We start from the raw sequence: 19,241 nt of genomic DNA, 5'->3' as shown, positions 1-19,241 counted from the left end.
TCCTCTGAGGTGTGATCCCTTGAGGTGTGAACCCCTTAGGTGTGATCCCCTGAGATGTGAACCCCTGTGGTGTGATCCTCTGAGGTGTGAACCCCTGTGGTGTGATCCCCTGAGGTATGATCCCCTGAGGTGTGAACCTCTGTGGTGTGATTCCCCTGAGGTGTGAATCCCTGAGTTGTGAATCCTTGCGGTGTTATCACCTGAGGTATGAACCCTGAAGTGTGATCTCCTGGGGTGCTAACCCCTGTGGTGTGATTCCCTTGGGGTGTGAACCCCTGAGGTGTGATCCCCTGAGTTATGAACCCCTGTGGTGTGATTCCCTGAGGTGTTAACCCCTGCGGTGTGATCCCCTGAGGTATGATCCCCTGAGGTGTGAACCACTGTGGTGTGATTCCCCTGAGGTATGAATTCCTGAGTTGTGAATCCTTGCGGTGTTATCACCTGAGGTATGAACCCTGAAGTGTGATCTCCTGGGGTGTTAAACCCTGTGCTGTGATTCCCCTGGGGTTTGAACCCCTGCAGTGTGATCTCCTGAGGTGTGAACCCCTGTGGTGTGAACCCCTGAGGTGTGACCCAAGGGGTGGATTTGGGGTATGGCCTGGGATTGCTGGGCGATATGGAAGAGGGGAAGGTTCAGGGTTTCTTAATTTTCTCAGGTAGATGGGAAGCATCTTCTCAGTTCCCTGGGGACTATCAGAGACCACCATTCCCCCATTCTTCCCTGGCTCCCTTGGCACATTTGAATCAGACCTTTGAGATCTCACTATGGCCTTTGTGGGAAAGGCTGTATGAACATAAATGGGTGTCCAGCCTGGGGGCCAGGTGAGGGAAGGCAGAGGCAGAGGGTGGCAGTGCCCCACCAATGTCCAGAGGAGAGCAACACCCTCATGTGGACCACCCAGTGAGAAGGCTTGACCACAGTGGGGTAAGTGAGGCCACTGTGTCGTGCTGCATCTGGCTTCACTCCATGCTCATGACGCATCCTTCTGATTAATGTCAGGAGGCAGTGGCTCTGGGCCCTTGGTAGGCAATGGGGTATTTTTGTTGCTGGAAAGAAACATCCCTTGGTAGAAATGAATACATTGACACTTGGCTTTCCATACTGGAGCGTGAGTGAGTCAGCCTCCCTGCGTCTGTGTCCACCGAGGGCACTGCAGGGCTAGGGGCAGCTTTGATTGTGGTAGAGGCACTGGGGCCCCTGTGGGAGCCTGGAGGTGCTTCTGCCACCCTCTCATGGGGACTCTGTAAACCTCTTGGTGTTACAGCTTGTGCTTCTCTCATGCTGGCTGCCAGCCCACAGAGATGTGTTTTCCAGGCCACACAGGCATTGGCTCGCCTCTTTTTGGTGATTTGGAACTGACATCACAGTCCTCTGACTCCAGCTCTAACACTGGCTGGTCCACATATACGCATCATCTATATGCACATGAAAGCTGTCATTATTCCTTCTGCTATGGAACCTGAATTACTGACAGCTGTAGTGTTGCTTCTGTCCTCAGATGGGTGCAAACAGTTCCTGACTTACAATACTTTTGACTTAAAATTTTTTGATTTACAATGGTGTGAAAATGACATGCATTTAGTTCACCCCCCAACTTATGATTGGGTTGTATCTGGATAAACCTATCAAAAGTTGAAAATACTGTGAGTCAAACACACATTTTCTGTTTCTTTCTTTCTTTCTTTTTTTTTTCTGTTGCCCAGGCTGGAGTGCAGTGGCACAATGATAGCTCAATGTAACCTCAACTCCTGGGCCCAAGCAATCCTCTCACCTTAGCCTCTCATGTAGCTGGGACTGAAGATGTGTGCCACTACACCTGGGTAATTTTTTTAAATTTTTTTTAATTTTGTAGAGGTGGTAGGGGGTCTTACAATGTTGCCCAGGCTGGTCTTGAACTCTTGGCCTCAAGCTATCCTCTTGCCTTGACCTTCCAAAGTGCCGGGATTGCAGGTGTCAGATGCTCAGCCCATGCTTTCAATTTTTAATATTTTCCATTTACAGTGGGTTTATCCAGACATAACCCCAGAGTAAGTCCAGGAGCATCTGTATATGTAAATATAGAACTGTTGAATTCTATCCCCTTTAAAATTTACATATCAAAGTCTTGGCCATTTATGGTGGTTCACGCCTGTAATCCCAACACTTTGGGAGGCCGAGGCACATGGATCACTCGAGGTCAGGAGTTTGAGACCAGCCTTGCCAACATGGCAAAACCCTGTCTCTACTAAAAATACAAAAATTAGCTGGGCGTGGTGGTGTGCGCCTGTAGCTCCAGCTACTTGGGAGGCTGAGGCGCAAGAATCGCTTGAGTCCTGAAGGTGGAGGTTGCAGTGATCTGAGATTGTGCCACTGCACTCCAGCTGGGTGAAAAAGAGAGACTCGGTCTCAAAAAAAATAAAAAATAAAAAATAAAAAAAAAAAGTCCTAACCCCCAATATGTCAGGACGTGACCTTATTTGGAAACAGGGTCACCACAGATATGGTTAGTTAAGATGAGTTCACACTGAAGTAGGGTGGGCCCCTAATTCATTATGACTGGTGTCCTTATAAAAGGAATGGCAAGTAAGGGGGCATAGTACCCAGGGACAACTCCATGTGAAGACCGGAGTTAGGGTGCCTCAAGTCAAGAAACGACCAGAAGTGAGGAGAGAGACGGGGAACAGATCTTTCCCTAGTGCCTTTGCAGGGAGCACGGTTCTGCCAATACCTTGATCTCAGATGTCTAGCCTCTAGGACTGTGAGAGAATAAATTCCTGTTGTTTGCAATATCTTGTGATGGCAGCCCTAGGACCGTCATACACCAATAGCTCAGAAACTTGGTGGATCTTTGAATACCTCTGTTTTATACAGAAAGGCAGGCCAGAGTCATACCTATTTTATAGATGGGGAAACTGCATCCCAGATAAATGAAATGATTTATTTGAAATTACTTTCTTACAAAATGCTTTAAAAGAAAAAAAACAGAGAAATGTTAACTAGGGCAACATACAAATTGTCTGCCAACTGTTAAGCTCATATCGAATGCTCCTGACCACTTTAAGATTAGGCCTTTGGGATCCCTGTTTTTAGAGATGGAGTGGCCACAGATGAGTAGCCCATCATGGGGTGTTCAGCAGTGCACCAAGCCAGGACTCACTAGAATGCTGAAGAATCCATGAATAATCCATTTATTTAAAACCTGCCAAAAGGGAAGGGTGTGTACACCTAAAGTATTTATTTTTGTGCCACGAAATGCCAAAGAATGCTTTGATTTTTTTTTCTTACGTAGTTTTCACCCTGAAGAAGGAACTCTCTGGGCTCTTAAATTCACATGTAAATACCTGGATCAGAATCACATTTTTAGAGCCCAGTCAAGAGGTGTTAAACTTTCAAGACTCTGAAAAAACAAGCTGCAAAGTACAGAGGACAGAGCAGGGCTTTGGAGTCAAGAGATGCCTTTGGGGTTCCAGCTCTGCTCTCCCTAAGGGCATGGCCCTGGGCAAGGTGCATTAATGTCTCTAGGTCTTATCTCAAAAATGGGATGACCAATCACGCCTAGTTCCAGAAGGTTCCAATGGAATAATCTCTATGGAAGTGCTGTATAAAGGGCAAAGTCACTAAGCAGCACAGGTGTTTGGGTTTTAGGATGAAAAGAGGATAGCTCAGAATTTCGAGGCAGTGTGGCACCAGGGAGCACCCAGTGTCAACCCTTGAGTTCAAAAGGAAGAGGGGCTGGCCAGAGTTCAAAAGGTAGGTTGGCCAGAAGCTCTGAGATGGATTTCTGACTTGGTGAAGAGGATAATGAAAATGGAAAGCCTTTATGGGGGGGCCAACACTGAATTTTTTTTTTTTTTTTTTTTGCAAAATATGTCATGTATGTTTATTTTAATGGCGATAGGGGTCTATGACCAATCCATTCTCCCTCCAAAGAGTTAGGTGCCTTTTCTTTAGAAAAGGTGCAGAGGGGGGGCTCACATACAATGGTAAGGGGGCAGTGAGCTGGAGTACCTTGAAAGACGTGCACATGATACACTTTGAGATCTCCATTCATCAAATCTAATCAATAATCCCCTCTTCCCACTTTCTTTTTTTTGAGATGGAGTCTCACTCTGTCACCTAGTCTGGAGTGCAGTGGCGCCATCTTGACTCACAGCAACCTCTGCCTCCCAGGCTCAAGCGATTCTCTTGCCTCAGCCTCCCCAGTAGCTGGAATTACAGCTACATGCTACCATGCCCAGGTAATTTTTTTTTTTTTTTTTTTTGAGACCGAGTCTCGCTCTGTTGCTCAGGCTGGAGTGCAGTGGTGTGATCTCGGCTCACTGCAACCTCCGCCTCCCAGGTTCAAGTGATTCTCCTGCCTCAGCCTCCCTAGTAGCTGGGATTACAGGCGTGTTACACCAAATTCAGCTAATTTTTTTTTTTTTTTTTTTTTTTTTTGTGATAGGGTCTTACTCTGTCGCCCAGGCTGGAGTGCAGTAACTCTCTCTTGGCTTACCACAACCTCTGCCTCCTGGGTTCAAGAGATTCTCCTGCCTCAGGCTCCCAAATAGCTGGGATTACAGGCACCTGCCACCATGCCTGGCTAATTTTTGTATTTTTAGTAGCAACGAGGTTTCACCGTGATGGCCAGGCTGGTCTCAAACTCCTGACCTCAGGTGATCCACGTGCCTTGATCTCCCAAAGTGCTGGGATTACAGGCATGAGCCACCGCACCCAGCCCTAATTTTTGTACTTTTAGTAAAGACGGGGTTTTGCCATATTGGCCAGGATGGTCTTGAACTCCTGACCTCTAGTGATCATCCCACCTCAGCCTCCCAAAGTGCTGAGATTACAGGCATGAGCCACCGTGCCCAGCCCCTTCTTCTCACTTTCTCCACTTTACTCAGCACCCACAATGCCTCTCCTGCCCGCTTTCTATGACTAATTTTCCCCCTCAAGACTTCACCTGTGTTGTCTGGGGAGGAGTAGGAGGTGATACTAGAATAGGAAGTGTCATCTGCGTCATGTGTACCCCCTGGCCCCCTTACTTGGAGTTGGTTGTCCTCTGTACACCGATAAGAGACTCTGAAGGAGTGACCAATGTCAGAGTGGTACTGTGAGGCAGTCAGACTGCCGCTCCCATCCTCCCAGGAAGATGTGAGGGAAGGAACCTGAACACAGATGTTTGTGCATTTGTCTGGGAGTTAGGAGGATGAAGGCTGGAGGCAGAGTGTGTAGGAGGAGGGAGGAGAAGAAGGGAAGTGAGAAGCTGTGACTGACTTTGAAAGAACTGGGTTGTTGGACCTCATACATTCTCAAGGGCTGGGAAAGCAGACGTGAATGTCCTCGAATTTAGCTAATAGAGAACATCGATTTCCTTTATGCAGCTCAGCCAAATGCATTTAACTTCTACTTAAATATTGCCAGCAAGTATTTTTCAGTTCTTACAATAAAATCCTCTTTTTAGGTCACCTTTCAAATTTCCTGGCTGTCCCTTAGAGGGGCTGCATTCAGAGATAATGTCTTAATTCAGCAAGACATCTGACTTAATTACACTGCTAATATGCATTTCTTCCTTCCTCTTTTAGAGAAATAGAGAGGAAGACAAACCCTCATTTTCTAGAACTATTTTCTTGTCCTGTGTTTTAGCACTACTGTATATATATGATGCCCTCTCTGAAAGCTTGCCTCTAGGTTTACCTGTCCACCAACCATTTAGCCAGGCCCAATGTCAATAGCAGAAAAGCAGTGGATTAATAACAAGAGAAACAACAAGAGCAAGAAGAAAGCGTATTCTTCTTTGTTAGTTCTCCTGGCTGCACTACATCATAATTATGGTTTCATACAGCCTCTGTGTTTTAAAAATTGTGACTTTAGGTGACAGTACAGAAAGCCAGTGATGCTTTCACTCTCATATGCCTCAATGGTAAGATGTATACAGAGTGTGTGAACTGAAAATGGTCAGGAACTAAAGAATATTTTATGATCTAAACTAGTCGTCATTGTTACAGTGCATCTAACAAGAGAACATCTTCAACAGCCCTCCTCCTCCGTGGAAGCTGTCTAGGAAACACATCTCAACAATTCAAGAAATTCTCATACCATGGGTGTTCCTGGCTTCCTGCTATTTTCTCACTCCTGCTCCCCTCAGCCTTCACCCCCACCCTAATGAATATTCAGTCTGCATCCTTCAACCAGGATTTTGAATAGGATGCTTCCTGTTTTTCCTATTAAAGATTAACTGTTGTCCTGGGTAAGAGACTGTTTAGTGAAAGCTGGCAGCTGGGAATTCCTGTTTATTTTTTATTATGACCCTGGTTCTGGGGACAACATATATCTCAAAGTTACAAATAAGGCCTTGTATATTCCGATGGCTCTGTTAGTCCTGACTCTGTATTGCATTCTTTTTTTAAAAATCTACATGCCTGTCCCATCTCACTGTGAGCAATTCAAAGGCAGGAATTAAGTCTTATTAATTTCTCTCTTCCGTTGCCCAGCATAGTGACCAGAACAGAGCTCAATAAAATGTGTTGAATAGATAAATGGGCTGTTAAGAGAAAAACTTTAGCAGAATTAAATTTAAAGGAGTTTAATTGAGCAATGAATGATTCACGGATCAGGCAGCCCCCAGAATTACTGCAGATTCAGAGAGGCTCCAGGGGTACCTCATGGTCAGAACAAAAAAAGGGAAGTGACGTACAGAAATCAGAGGTGAGGTGCAGAAACAGGTGGATTGGTTACAGCTTGGCATTTGTGTTATTTGAACACAGTCTGAACACTCAGCACTGTATGAATGGTTGAAGTGTGGCTGCTGAGATTGGCTGAGACTCAGCTATTGTTACAGGCTGTAATCCTAAATTAGGGTTTCAATCTTGTCTGCACACTAAGGTAGGTTGCAGTTCGTCCACAAGGACTCAAATACAGAAGTATGGAGTCCTTCCCAGGCCATATTTAGTTTGCTTTAACAAGGCATAGCAGTGATAAGTTCCAGAGAGAGGTGGTCAGCATGATTCATCACTGTCCTCAGACAAGAAGAGGATGAGGAGGGATGAGAGCCATTTGTGCCTATTTTGTACCTTTTTGGCAAAGTCATGATTACTTAGTCATGTAACATGTAACTTAGCATGACCCATTGGGTACAGAAACTAGGTTTAATTTTTTTATCCAACAGTGAAGTTTTCCATACTTCACTCAAGTACTTAGTAATTGCTGTAGCTTTGCTTCATTGCAGCGGCTTCATAGATCATGGCTGTTGTTCATCGCTTGTGGCGTGCCTGGGAAATCAATAGCTAAAAATGTTTTGTGAACCCTTAGTAGTTGTTACCTGGGTAGGTTTGGAATGTTCCAGGAGAATTAATGAACAATCAGGTGATAGTTTTGTCATTTTACAGGGAATAATAAGCAAATGCGTGTTTGGAAGTGTGATTCTATCAAATCTGTTTATAAATAAGTGCATATTTGCCATTTAAAGTAATTTTTTTATCTGTGACTTGGGCTTCATGGGATTAGCTATAATGACACGTCTGGGAGTCTCCTCACAATTAGAATGAAATCCTCGAGTTTTTTTCCTAAAAACCTTATGGATGGTGTTTTGCATTTGTCATCTGCAAGAAAACATGTAAACACCCTGGTATTTCTTTAGTATTCGTTTTTAAGGGCTGCAAATGGGTTTTACAAACATGATTTCATGAATCCTTAAATAAAGCCTGGGAAACAGTAGATACACTTAACATTTAGCAAAACTCTTCAATAGCTTCTTGCCACCATAGGCATAAATTCCTCCACAGCTCGCCCTTTCTCAGACACTAACCTCCAGTTACACCAAACGATTGCAGGTTTCACCTCATGTGCACTCTCTTGCCTTCAGCCTTTTGTGTATACACTTCTTTCCCCCAGACCCTCCCTCCCCAACTCCTAATCCTCCTTCAAGATGAGAAACTTGAATATCACCTCCTCAGCACAGCTTCCTGATTTCTACACCCAGTTAGGTCCCTTGCTAGTTGCTTCCTCACAGAGGGAATTACACAGAGAAATTAAGGTCCACAATGCAAACATTTCCAGAGTAATCATCACTTTTTAAGTTATTTTCAATGTCAATAGAAAATATTTGAGTTCTGGGCTGTCCTCTTTGTGATAATCCATGTCCTTTTATTTATGTATTTGAATTGATGTTCTGTCCAAAGTTGCTGCCAAAATTACATTTTGGAGGAGCCAGGAAGAGCTTGTCAAACATCTTGATGTGTGGTTTGTATGGTTTCATTTGGTCTGACGATCTTATCTATCCAGAGAAAAAGCAAGTCACACCTCTATCTTTGCCTTCTTTCTCTGGATAGTTTAATATATTATTAATAGTTTGACCATAATTCACATTCCATTTTTAGGAGCATCGGAAGATTATATGACATTTCTGATTTTATTAGAACATTCTTTCATTTAATATTGCTTAAAAAAAACAGCCAGTATGTGGAGGCTGAGAAGCCTTTGGTTATATAAGCTGCTTTATGATGGTTTTATTTTAGTTGTATAACATATTTGTGTTTCTTAATGATATTCAGGACAGCAGAAGGGTCAAGAGAGCAGATTTTGAAGGAAGCCATGCCACGTTCGTTACATAAAGTACTATATCTGAGGCTCAGTTGTCTCATTTATATACTGGAAATGACAATAATATCTATCTCATAGGATTACTATAGGGGTTAAATGTAATAATGAGTTATTACATTAATAAAATGTAATAAAATGTAATATGTAATAAAGAGTTTGATATACAGCTCAAGGTTAGTACTCAGTCAGTGCTAGCTATTTTATTACTCTCTCTCTCTCTCTCTATATATATATATATACACTAACGATGAAGTGGCGTTATTGGGGTAATAATCTGGAGTAAATACCCGAGATTCATTGTCTCACGGCCATGGAAAACTAGGACGCAGGCACACAAAGAGTGAGGTTCAGAATGGAAGTTTAATAGGCAAAAGAAAGAGAGGAGATCTCTGCAGCAGAGAGGCATGCTGGAGAAGTGAGTTGCTGGTTCCACAGTGGAATGCAAGGTTTTTTATAGATGAGCTTGAGGAGGTGGTGTCTGATTTACAGAGGGCATGAAAGATTGGTCAGACCAGGTGTTTCATTTGCATAAGGCGCGAAAAACTGGTTAGGACTCGGTGTGCCATTGCAGGTGGTTCTCTACCTGGCCGGTGCCATGTTGCCTGTTCCTTTACTGTACATGTGGTGACAAAAAAAAGAGAAGATGGAGACTCTATGTTGGACATACCTGGCCTCCAGGTAGCCCTTTTATATTGGCACAGCTGCTGGCATTCACCCATGCAAGTTTCCAGCTTGCTTATTTGTCTGCAGCTCAATTTTTCAGGCTGCTGTTTGTTAGAAAGGAAGTGATTTGGGGCCTGCTTTTTGTTAAAAGGGACATTTTACTGGGGACTCTGCTGCACCTACTATCTGTCTAATAATTTCTTTCTACCTCCTGCATCAGCAAGCAGCTCTTTTTCCTTCCTGATGAAGCAATTTCCTTTTTCAAGTTGACCTCCTGTAGGTGCCACAAAAGTTACAGCAGTCCTAGGGACAGTGAGTTTCATCTCGTTTTCTGTTCCTGTGATGCTAACAAGCTGACCTAAATTCTCTCCGGTCACATGGTCCCATAAGCTCTCTGAGGGTAAGAAGTGTAGCATCCTCATCTTTGGGCTCCCTGTAGCCCATTGTTCAGTGGTACGAGACTGGTCTTTACCATTTGCCTCCGTGCTGGTGTCTTCGTTCTGTTCTTTCAGCATGGTTGGGATGGCCATCTCTCTCCTGCATGGAGCCACCAGCGGACTCATCCTGATCCTAAGGCCCACTGTGTCTTGCCCATAGGTGCTCAATGAATGTTTGTTATTAGGAGCATGCAGATGACAAACATTCCTTTTCAATGAGAGCAGATGAGAAAATAACTGCCTTGTTTTAATCCCAATTTACTTTTCTTCCATTTTATGATCTTGGTAAAAAATGTGAGGAAGGATTTGATCACAATTTTCTTCACTAATTCTTCACCTACCTACCTAACCAATCAACAAAGCCCTCAGGATTCCACACAGGCATCCAGCTCCTACTTTAAGGGACAGCTTAAGTCTTTGTGGTCATTATAACTATTAATGAGTTATTGATTAGCAAACACATCAGTCTGGTATTCAAGCAAGGGCTGCTGATGGAATCGTAAAAGGAAAGATGTTTTAAAAGTTCTATTATGACTGCTGAAACAGATTACATTGGACATCTTTGGTTCTCATTAATTACAGCCATGGTGGACACAATTCTAGAGAATCTCCTGCCTACAGAAGTAATGGAGGAAAAGCCCTCATGGATACATATAGATTTTGTTAATTTCCACCCCTTCTTCAAGAACTCATCACCTGTAAGAGCCAATGAAAACAAATCTATCCATTTATCTATCTATCTTTCTGTTTTTTTTTTTGTTTGTTTTTTTTTGCCACTTGCCAGTCAACAATGACTCCTGCTCCTGATTGCGTAATTGTTTTGAAACTTTCCTCAGGCCTAAGATAGAAGCCTCCACACGCCTTCCCATCTTCTCTGTCTCTCACCATTTATTATATGACATCACAGAGGGACACTCCTCTTAGAGTAACAGATTCTGATTTTTATTTGTCATTTACTATTGTGTGAAAAGAATTCAGAAGGAAGTCAAACTAGCCACTTTTTCAGTCCATAGGGGTCTGAGTGCTATAATCCTGGTTCTCAATTTCCCGTCTGTTGAAGAACTTGCAGGTCACTGGGTGAGACTTAAGCATCCCTAGAGCTGTGACATTTTTTCGTCTGCGTGTAGGAAAAACTGGAAGAGGCCCCCAAAGTTTATAATACCTGAAAGACAAAGTTCCTTAAAACTTTCATTCTGCTAGGACAATGAAAAACCCTCCCATGGAAATACTTGACTTGGATATCATTATCTATTTAGATGGTAAAGTTGTGGGTGCTATGATTTATAACATGAGAGCTGCTTCCTGGGCCAAACTTTGAGTTTGTTTATTAATCCTGGAAACCATTATAACCAAGTTAATAGGAAAAAGGAGATCCCTGAACTCCGTGTACTTGGAAGTTCCTGAAAGCAGCTCAGAGTTAGTAACTGGCTGCCCCCAGGTAAAAATCCATGCAAATAGCAGTGATGAGAAACCTCTCTGGAATGCCCTCCCCCTCCTTCTTTACTTAGTTATTTATGTTCAGTGACTTCCTTAGAATCACGTCCTTTCAAGAAGGATCATTCTAAGAGTATTTTTATTACAGGAAATTTAGAGGCAGAATGCTAAATTTCACAAATATATAAAGATGCAATAAATTTGTCCCTAGCCTAAGGTATGTTCTATTTGCCATGGAATGGGGCTTAACTAAAAGTTAGTCAATTCTGATAACTTGAGGAGAATTCATAATGTTTAAACAGAGGATCTGAGCCAACTTGCAACTAAATCACTTCTTAAAAATTGTTTCAGGCCAGGTGTGGTGGCTTATGCCTATTTGTCCTAGCACTTTGGAAGTCCAAGGTGGAATAATCACCTGAGGTCAGGAGTTCAGAGACCAGCCTGGCCAACATGGTGAAACCCCATTTCTACTAACAATACAAAAATTAGCTGGGCATGGTGGAGGACACCTGTAATCCCAGCTACTCAGAAGGCGGAGGCAGGAAAATCGCCTGAACCCCGGAGCTAAAGTTTGTAGTGAGCCAAGATCGTGCCACTGCACTCCAGCCTGGGTGACAGAGTGAGACTCTGTCTCAAAAAAAGAGAACAAACCAAAAAAGTTTCTTCATCCACCACAAAATGTCTGATTTCATTTGCTGGATTTTCAAATGACTAGTGAAAATGGCCAACATGAATGGAGTTTTCACAGTTAGCCACTGGTAAAGTGAGAATGAGATTTTTCTGCCTTGCCGGCCATGAGGTTGGCATCGTGGTTAATGGGGGTAATCTGTGCAAAGAATTTTGAGGAGTGCCTGGCATACAGATGGTTCTCAAAAATGTTAGGTAGTTTTATCATCATCGTTAATAAATAAATAAGTTCGAATCTATGATCAGTGCTAGAGAAATCTGGTGGTCAATATAAACTCACATCTCAGGAAGGTACAACTGTTCATTTTCCTCTAAAATTCTGATAAATTTGCAGAAACTCCTGTCCTCCACACTTTCTCTCCGAGCCTACTAATTGATGGAAACAATTTGGTTTAAATTTCTAACTGGGATCTGTCAGCAAGACGGAAAGTCAAGATTTCTATCATTATGGAAACAGGTTTCTACAGATCATTTTTATTTTTAAAAAAGTCATGTTTTTAACCATTCAAGAATACACATCAAAATTTAAGGATTACTAGAATAGAATTAAACATTGTAAAAAAAAAAACCCCATATTTTTAGTAAAATGGGCATGTGAAAATATATGTTTGTGTATCTTCACATACCCATTTCATATATATGTGTATAGATGATATTATATATGATATATGATATATATTCATATATACATATATGTATACTTGAAATATATATTTCATATATGTATACCCATTTCATATATATGTGTATATATGATATATATGATACATGATATATATTCATATATACATATATGTATACATGAAATATATATTTCATATATGTATATATATATGAAATGGGTATGTGAAAATACACAAACACATATTTTCACATGCCCATTTTAAATATTTGTTTGTGTGTGTATGTATATATATATATATATAAAATCAGAAAACGGAAAATGTCTAGAGTATCTGCGTTACGAGACTTCAGGCACCTGGGGAAAATTATTTTCTGACCAGCAGTCTCCGGAAGAGGAGCCAGGCCTTGTGTGTGGCCTTGGCCTGGGTCCCGGTCTTGCACTTTCTCCCTCTAGCCTGGTGGGCCAGGGCCAGGGGCCTTTGCTTTAATCCTACAGTTTCTGCTCAATCATTAGCCCTTCCTATGACCCTCACCTGGATGTGATCGTCCCTCTTTTACGCTCTAGTAACAGTATTGTTTTGGGTGGGTCAACATCCAAAACACTAGTGTCCTCATTTAATTAAGGTCAGGTCTCCTTATACTGGGTTAGCACTAAAGTAATTGCAGTTTTTGCAATTACTTTTAATGGCAAAGGCCACAATTACTTTTGCACCAATCTAATAACTTCCTTCATGGCAAAAACTTTTTGCTACCTTTATACTAAGTGTCTTGTACCTAGCAGCTGCTTTCAAAATGTATTAAATGAATGAATGAAATAAAAATAAAATTAAATTCAATGGTATATCATTTATCTTGGCATCTGATGTAAATTAGGTATCAATAAAGGGTAGCTATGATTATGAGGATACATAATTTCAGAACTAAGTTGTGAGGCGTCTTATTTCCATATCTCAACTAGTATTTGAAATGCAGCTTTAGGTGAAAAAGTTTAGGCTTCTAGACCATGTTTTTAAAAAGTTAATCAAACAATGGAAGCCTCAATATATAGTAGAATTTCTCTTGTATGTTGAACTCCCTAGAATATGCTCATAAACATATTTCTTTTTCAAGATAATTTTATTTTTCATGTTATGAAAATGTTAATGTAATTATACTAATCTTAAAATAAACAAAATCATGCTTAGTTTTGTCGTCCAGAGATAACCATATGAATGTGTAAATTTTGTTTTCTAGGCAGGATTCTTTTTTTTCAACATAGCTGTGATTCATTCAAATGAGTGAATTTAACAAATATTTGCATTACGTTTTTTATGTGTCAGGGCTGTGCTTATAGTGTGTACACTGTGTTTACATAGAGAATATAATTTTGTATTCAATTTTTTAGCAAATATAATAATAGACATTTGCCAATGTTATTCAAAACTCTTTGTAAATATAATCATGCTTTTTAAAAACTAAGCATCCTATGGTTGATCATTTTGGTCCTTTTCAATATTATAATACTGCAACATTGTTTTAGATGATTAGGATGCTTTGTTTAGGAAAGATTCCCAGATATAGATTTACTGGGAGGAAAGCTATGAGCATTTTAAGACTTTTGATTTACCAACTTGCTTTCCAAAATGGGGTACAAATTAACTGAATGGAAAGATAGAAATACAGAAAACAAAGAAAGGTAAATAATTGTGATATAGTATTTTGCAAATGTTGAAATAAATTCTTTAGCTAGAAAAAAAAGAAATATAGGAAACATGGAGAAATAGAAAATGTTTCTATATACAGAATACAGAAAAATACAGTTTTAAAAAAGTATACCTTAATATTAAGGCTTCCGCGGCAAACCAGAGTGAAGTGATGTTCAACCCCACTTTGTCAAATGCTTGAAATTCATTTGCAGTTGCCAGGTTATCTGGAGGTTTTGACGGTGCCCAGAGAGAGAAGGAAGTGTCTGTTTGAGGTGCCTTGCTCCTAATCCAGTGTCTCCTAAAAGCACAGAACCTTGGTAATTCAAGCAAGATGTCTTTCTGGTATGCCTAGAGGCACCTAAAACCATGACACAGTTAGGACAAATATAGTAGATTGTACACACACAGGAGTTTCATGTAACAAGTGAAACCAAGGTTTCTTTCAAAGCTTAGGGTTTCTTTCATGTGAAAGATACATTCTTATTTTTAGATAGGAAGAACTCCAGGCTGAAGCAAGCAGTGTGATATAATCTTGTATTGTCTTGAAGGAAATTAGCCAGGGAATTGATACATGTTTAGCCATGTCATTCCAGGAATCCTTTAAGCTGACTATAGGGAGCTAATACTTTCTGAAAGTAATTTTACCCAAAAGAAACACAGACTTTTGGCTGGGCGCGGTGGCTCACGCCTGTAATCCCAGCACTTTGGGAGGCTGAGGCGGGCAGATCATGAGGTCAGGAGATCGAGACTATCCTGGATAACACGGTGAAACCCCGTCTCTACTAAAAATAGAAAAAATTGACAACTGAGTATAAAGCTTAGAAATTTGGCAGTGAATAAAGAGGTAGAATATTTACCAGTCCAACTCTTGGAACCCTTCCCAAAGCATACTCCTAAAGGCTGAGTGTTTAGCTAACTCTTACAAATGCAAAGATTTATCAGGCCTTCACTGGCTGATTGCAGGTGTTATGCACATGAGGTCATGATTTCAATTCCCACATAACACGGTTAACTGTACTTTATTTCATAACCAGCCTACCTTGTCCTACACTGAATTGGTGTTTGTAAGGAGACAGCATGAGGTAGGCCCTGGGAAGGAAGAAACACGGGGTTAGAAGCTCCTTTGATTGATCCCCTAGTATATGCCATTAATTTTATAAGAAAGACCAGGTAAAAGAGGAATGATCAATCATTCACTGTAAATTCATCACCAATGTGGAAGAAGAGTTTATGTGTATGAAGGACAGTTCATTTCAAATTATAGGATATACGAATAAAATAATACTATCATTAACCTCTGCATTTCTTTCTTTTTTTGAGATGGGATCTCGCTCTGTCACCCAGGCTGGACTACAGTGGTGAGATCTTGGCCCACTGCAACCTCAGCCTCCCGGGCTCAAGCGATTCTCGTGCCTCAGCCTCCCATGTAGCTGGGACTATAAGTGTGCACCACCACCCTGGCTAATTTTTGTATTTTTCGTGGAGACAGGGTTTCACCATGTTGGCTAGGCTGGTCTTTAACTCCTGACCTCAAGTGATCTCCCTGCTTCAGCCTCCCAAAGTGCTGGGATTACAGGTATGAGCCACCTCGCCCAGTCCAACCTCTGCATTTCTTATCTAGTGCATTCACTCATTTATTCAATAAATATTTATGAAGGGCCTATCACATGCTAAAGTTTATGCAGGAAAGGTCAATTCCTTTTATCTAGACAGTGTTATGTGACACAACCTTTAGCAAACAACAAAACCAATTCTCTTAGTCCATATGGGCTTCTATAGCAAAATATCATAAACTGGGTGGTATATAATCAACAGAAATATATTCTCACAGTCCAAGAGACTGGGAAGTCCAAGATTAAGGCACCGGCAGATTTGATATCTGGTGAATGTCATCTTTTTACTGTGTCCTCACCTTGCAAAAGGGCTAAACAAGCTTCCCTGGAGCTTTTGTATAAGGTCACTAGTCCCATTCACCCCTAAAGGAACCACACCTTAATACCATGACCTTGAAGATGAGGTTTCAACATGAATTTTGGAGGAGACAGTCAGATCATAGAACCAACAAAAATCTTAATAGATCATTGGCACTGGGAATGACTTGGGTCTCTTGCTTGGAGAGTAACTACACTGATATATTAGCAATCTCGAACTCTTGACTTTTTTTTTTTTGAGGCAGAATCTCACTCTCACCCAGGCTTGAGTGCTTTGGCTCACTGCAACCTCTGCTTCCCAGGTTCAAGTGATTCTCCTGTCTCAGCCTCCCGAGTAGCTGGGGACTACAGATGCGCACCACCATGCCCGGCTAATTTTTGTATTTTTCGGCGGAGACAGGGTTTTACCGTGTTGCCCAGCTGGTCTCAAACTTCTGACCTCAAGTGATTTGCCTGCCTTGGCCTCCCAGAATGCTGGCATTACAGGTGTGAGCCACCGCTCCAGGACTATATTATCAATCTCTATCCGGTAATTGCTTCCCTGGGAAGAGAGAAAGCCAACTAAAATCAGATCGAACGAAAAGGAAAGAAGATTGGATATGAAAACCTACAGAGCCCAACATTCCAGGACATCGGAGTAGCCACTGAAGACAATTTAGAAGGAATGATAGAAAGGCAACCACTTTTTCTCTTCAAATCAAACCAAGGTTTTGGCATACTAGAAATGAAAAGCAGAGTTCCTCCTTTGTAAGTGCAGCTTGACCAGATCAGAGATTTGACTTTCCTGGGGGACTTTGTTTCTAGAGATCAGTGTCTCTCTTCTGCTGTATTAGAGATATTTTTCTCCTCCTATTGAGTTCCGGTTGAAATGTGAACCTCTGACACATTAGTTCCCTGTAGCATGGTCAAGACAAGGTTACTAGATTTCCATAAGACATTCTTAAATTCAGCAGCTTTTTTCAACCTATCCCCCAGTCAACAGTAATAACATGATGGGTGATATTCACTAGGGCCACAGAGGTAAAAAGCAACTATAGGTACACAGATTAAAATAAATGGTAAAACCTATGTTACATGTTAAACTCTATCACAGGCACAAGGAAAAGTAATTTTTGAAAATAAATTAATTTGTTCTATACAGGCAAATTTCAGGATTTCAGGGACAAAGATGACATTCTAAACACACACTCTTGGCTCTTTTTCTCTCTCAGTTTCTCAAAAAAAATGACAAAATAATGTAATTTAAAAAATTCTATAGATTACTGAAGATTAGAGAAGGGACTGACTCTGTTTGGAGGCAAGTCTCTGTGGGTTTCTTATATTTCTGTATATCTCACAAGCAGAGGCAATGGCCACATTGGTTCTGGACTATCTTTTCAAGGATGTTTGTATAGCAAACAGTCTTGGAAGACAGAGATAGTGCCTCCCAACATAACAAATGGCAGGCATTATAAAAGATTCAGATACCCTAAGCTCAGGGTTCCTCTCTTGTAACTCAACCCACTGCATGTGAAGGAGACACCTGGTTGTCTTCTACTCACTCTGTGAGATCTGAGACTCAGAGAATCAGTACAAGATAAAGCAAATGCTCTAGCTACTGCTATTGCTGTAATAAAGTTCTTTGCCTCTGACCCAAGAGTCTCATGTCTTCTGTCAACATCCATGAAACTGGTAGCTTAACCTGTTAATTTGCAAGTAGAGTAAAATCTCAGACCCTTTATAACTCTTGATAATTTTGCTGACATGGATGGGATGCCAACAGAGACCTGACTTTCTGGAAAAGGAAGAATCCTGTGAGCCAATGAATGGGATTTGAGAGAAGTCCGTGGAAAACAGTAGTGAAGATATTGACCACTATTTTTTACTGATGCCTAATTCTAGCCTGTTTTTAGTTTCTTTAGTTATGTCGGTTCCAGATTTTTTAGTGGAATCATAGTTAGTTAATTTCAATATTTTTAAATAATAAAGGCATTAAGTCTATGAGTAAACCATCCCCCAAATCCAGAGAGCAGCATCTCCCCCACTGGGAATGGCCATGGAAGCTCCTGCCACTGGCTCACCAGGGAGGGCAGAAGGAAAATGGCTAGAGTTTGGTAGGTAGAGATTGCATGAGAAAGGGTTTCCTATAACCTGCTAGCTTATGAGGGACCATCAGAAACCCCAGAAAAGTTTGTGGGATTCCAGACAGAAGAGACCATTGCTTGGCTTACCGGGATTTAACTGGGGACTCTAAAAGCCTCACCGAGAAGTTCCATATGTATGTGGGCAATGACTGGACATGTGGCAAGTAGGCAGGTGGACCTGAGAGCAGTCCCTCAGGACGACATAGAAAGATGAGGGTGCCCTGTCATTCAGGATAGGGTTGAGCATGGAAGTCCCAGTGGGGTTCTGTTGAGGAGAATGCAGAGCACATAGAATGAGGAACTAGAAACTGTAATAGGACCATGGACATCGGTGGATATACCATAGCATGATGCCCAAGATCCAGATGCCTTGCCGTGAGAACCAAGAGCCAGGACAGCAAACAAACCCCAGGGAAACAGCTCCCTTCTGGGGATGAGAGAAGGAGGAGAGGGAGGAGGACAATCTTTAATATTCAATTGCCAGTGTTTAAATCCAAACTGACCCTTCTTAGAACCAAAAGCAACAGAGATACTGAGTTGAAATGGGGATTTAGGAGAGAAATTAGGTACTGTCATAGACAAGAAGATCAAGTTGCATGTATAAACACCTGAGTTGCAAGTTTTAAACCTGCTGTATCTTAAATGCATTCTTAATCCCATCTTCGGATGCCTGTTTTGTCCCCTTTCTCCCTGGCGCCTTCAATGTCGGTCCACTGGCTGCTCTGGATTAGTCATGCCCCTGTGATTCATTACCGTGCTCACCAAAAATTCCTTTCCATGACCCCTTGATCCCCTTAAACTACCACTGCATTTCTTATCACTCCCACTTGAATTTCCTGTAAACATACTTATATCTTTAATTATTTAATTCCTGTTCATTCCTAGAGTCACTATTATTTGGTGTTCGTCACCGCTATCCGACTGGAATTGAGCTTTTAAAGTTCACATGCAAAAATCAATCCATAATTCAATCAATCAATCAATCAACTTTTCAGAGTCCCTCCTTTCCCATCTCTCTGTGATATTTATCAGTGTCAATTGAGCTCTCACTCTCCTTGAAACTCTTCATTTAAAAAATTTTTTCTTATTCTACT

General features: G+C 41.4%; 3 annotated features.

Annotated features, from left to right (window-relative positions):
- Positions 4,540 to 4,589: an enhancer, noted in NCBI's record as "active region_26973". NCBI's record gives its function as "activates an Ori minimal core promoter by ATAC-STARR-seq in GM12878 lymphoblastoid cells {active_cell/tissue: GM12878}" and the evidence as "EXISTENCE:reporter gene assay evidence [ECO:0000049][PMID:35858748]".
- Positions 6,566 to 6,615: a silencer, noted in NCBI's record as "silent region_18899". NCBI's record gives its function as "represses an Ori minimal core promoter by ATAC-STARR-seq in GM12878 lymphoblastoid cells {active_cell/tissue: GM12878}" and the evidence as "EXISTENCE:reporter gene assay evidence [ECO:0000049][PMID:35858748]".
- Positions 14,628 to 14,767: an enhancer, noted in NCBI's record as "active region_26972". NCBI's record gives its function as "activates an Ori minimal core promoter by ATAC-STARR-seq in GM12878 lymphoblastoid cells {active_cell/tissue: GM12878}" and the evidence as "EXISTENCE:reporter gene assay evidence [ECO:0000049][PMID:35858748]".

The sequence above is a fragment of the Homo sapiens genome, chromosome 8 (genome assembly GCF_000001405.40).
Source record: "Homo sapiens chromosome 8, GRCh38.p14 Primary Assembly".
NCBI lineage: Eukaryota > Metazoa > Chordata > Mammalia > Primates > Hominidae > Homo > Homo sapiens.
Note: the sequence above shows the minus strand (reverse complement) of the source record. Positions and strands in the feature narration are given on the sequence as shown.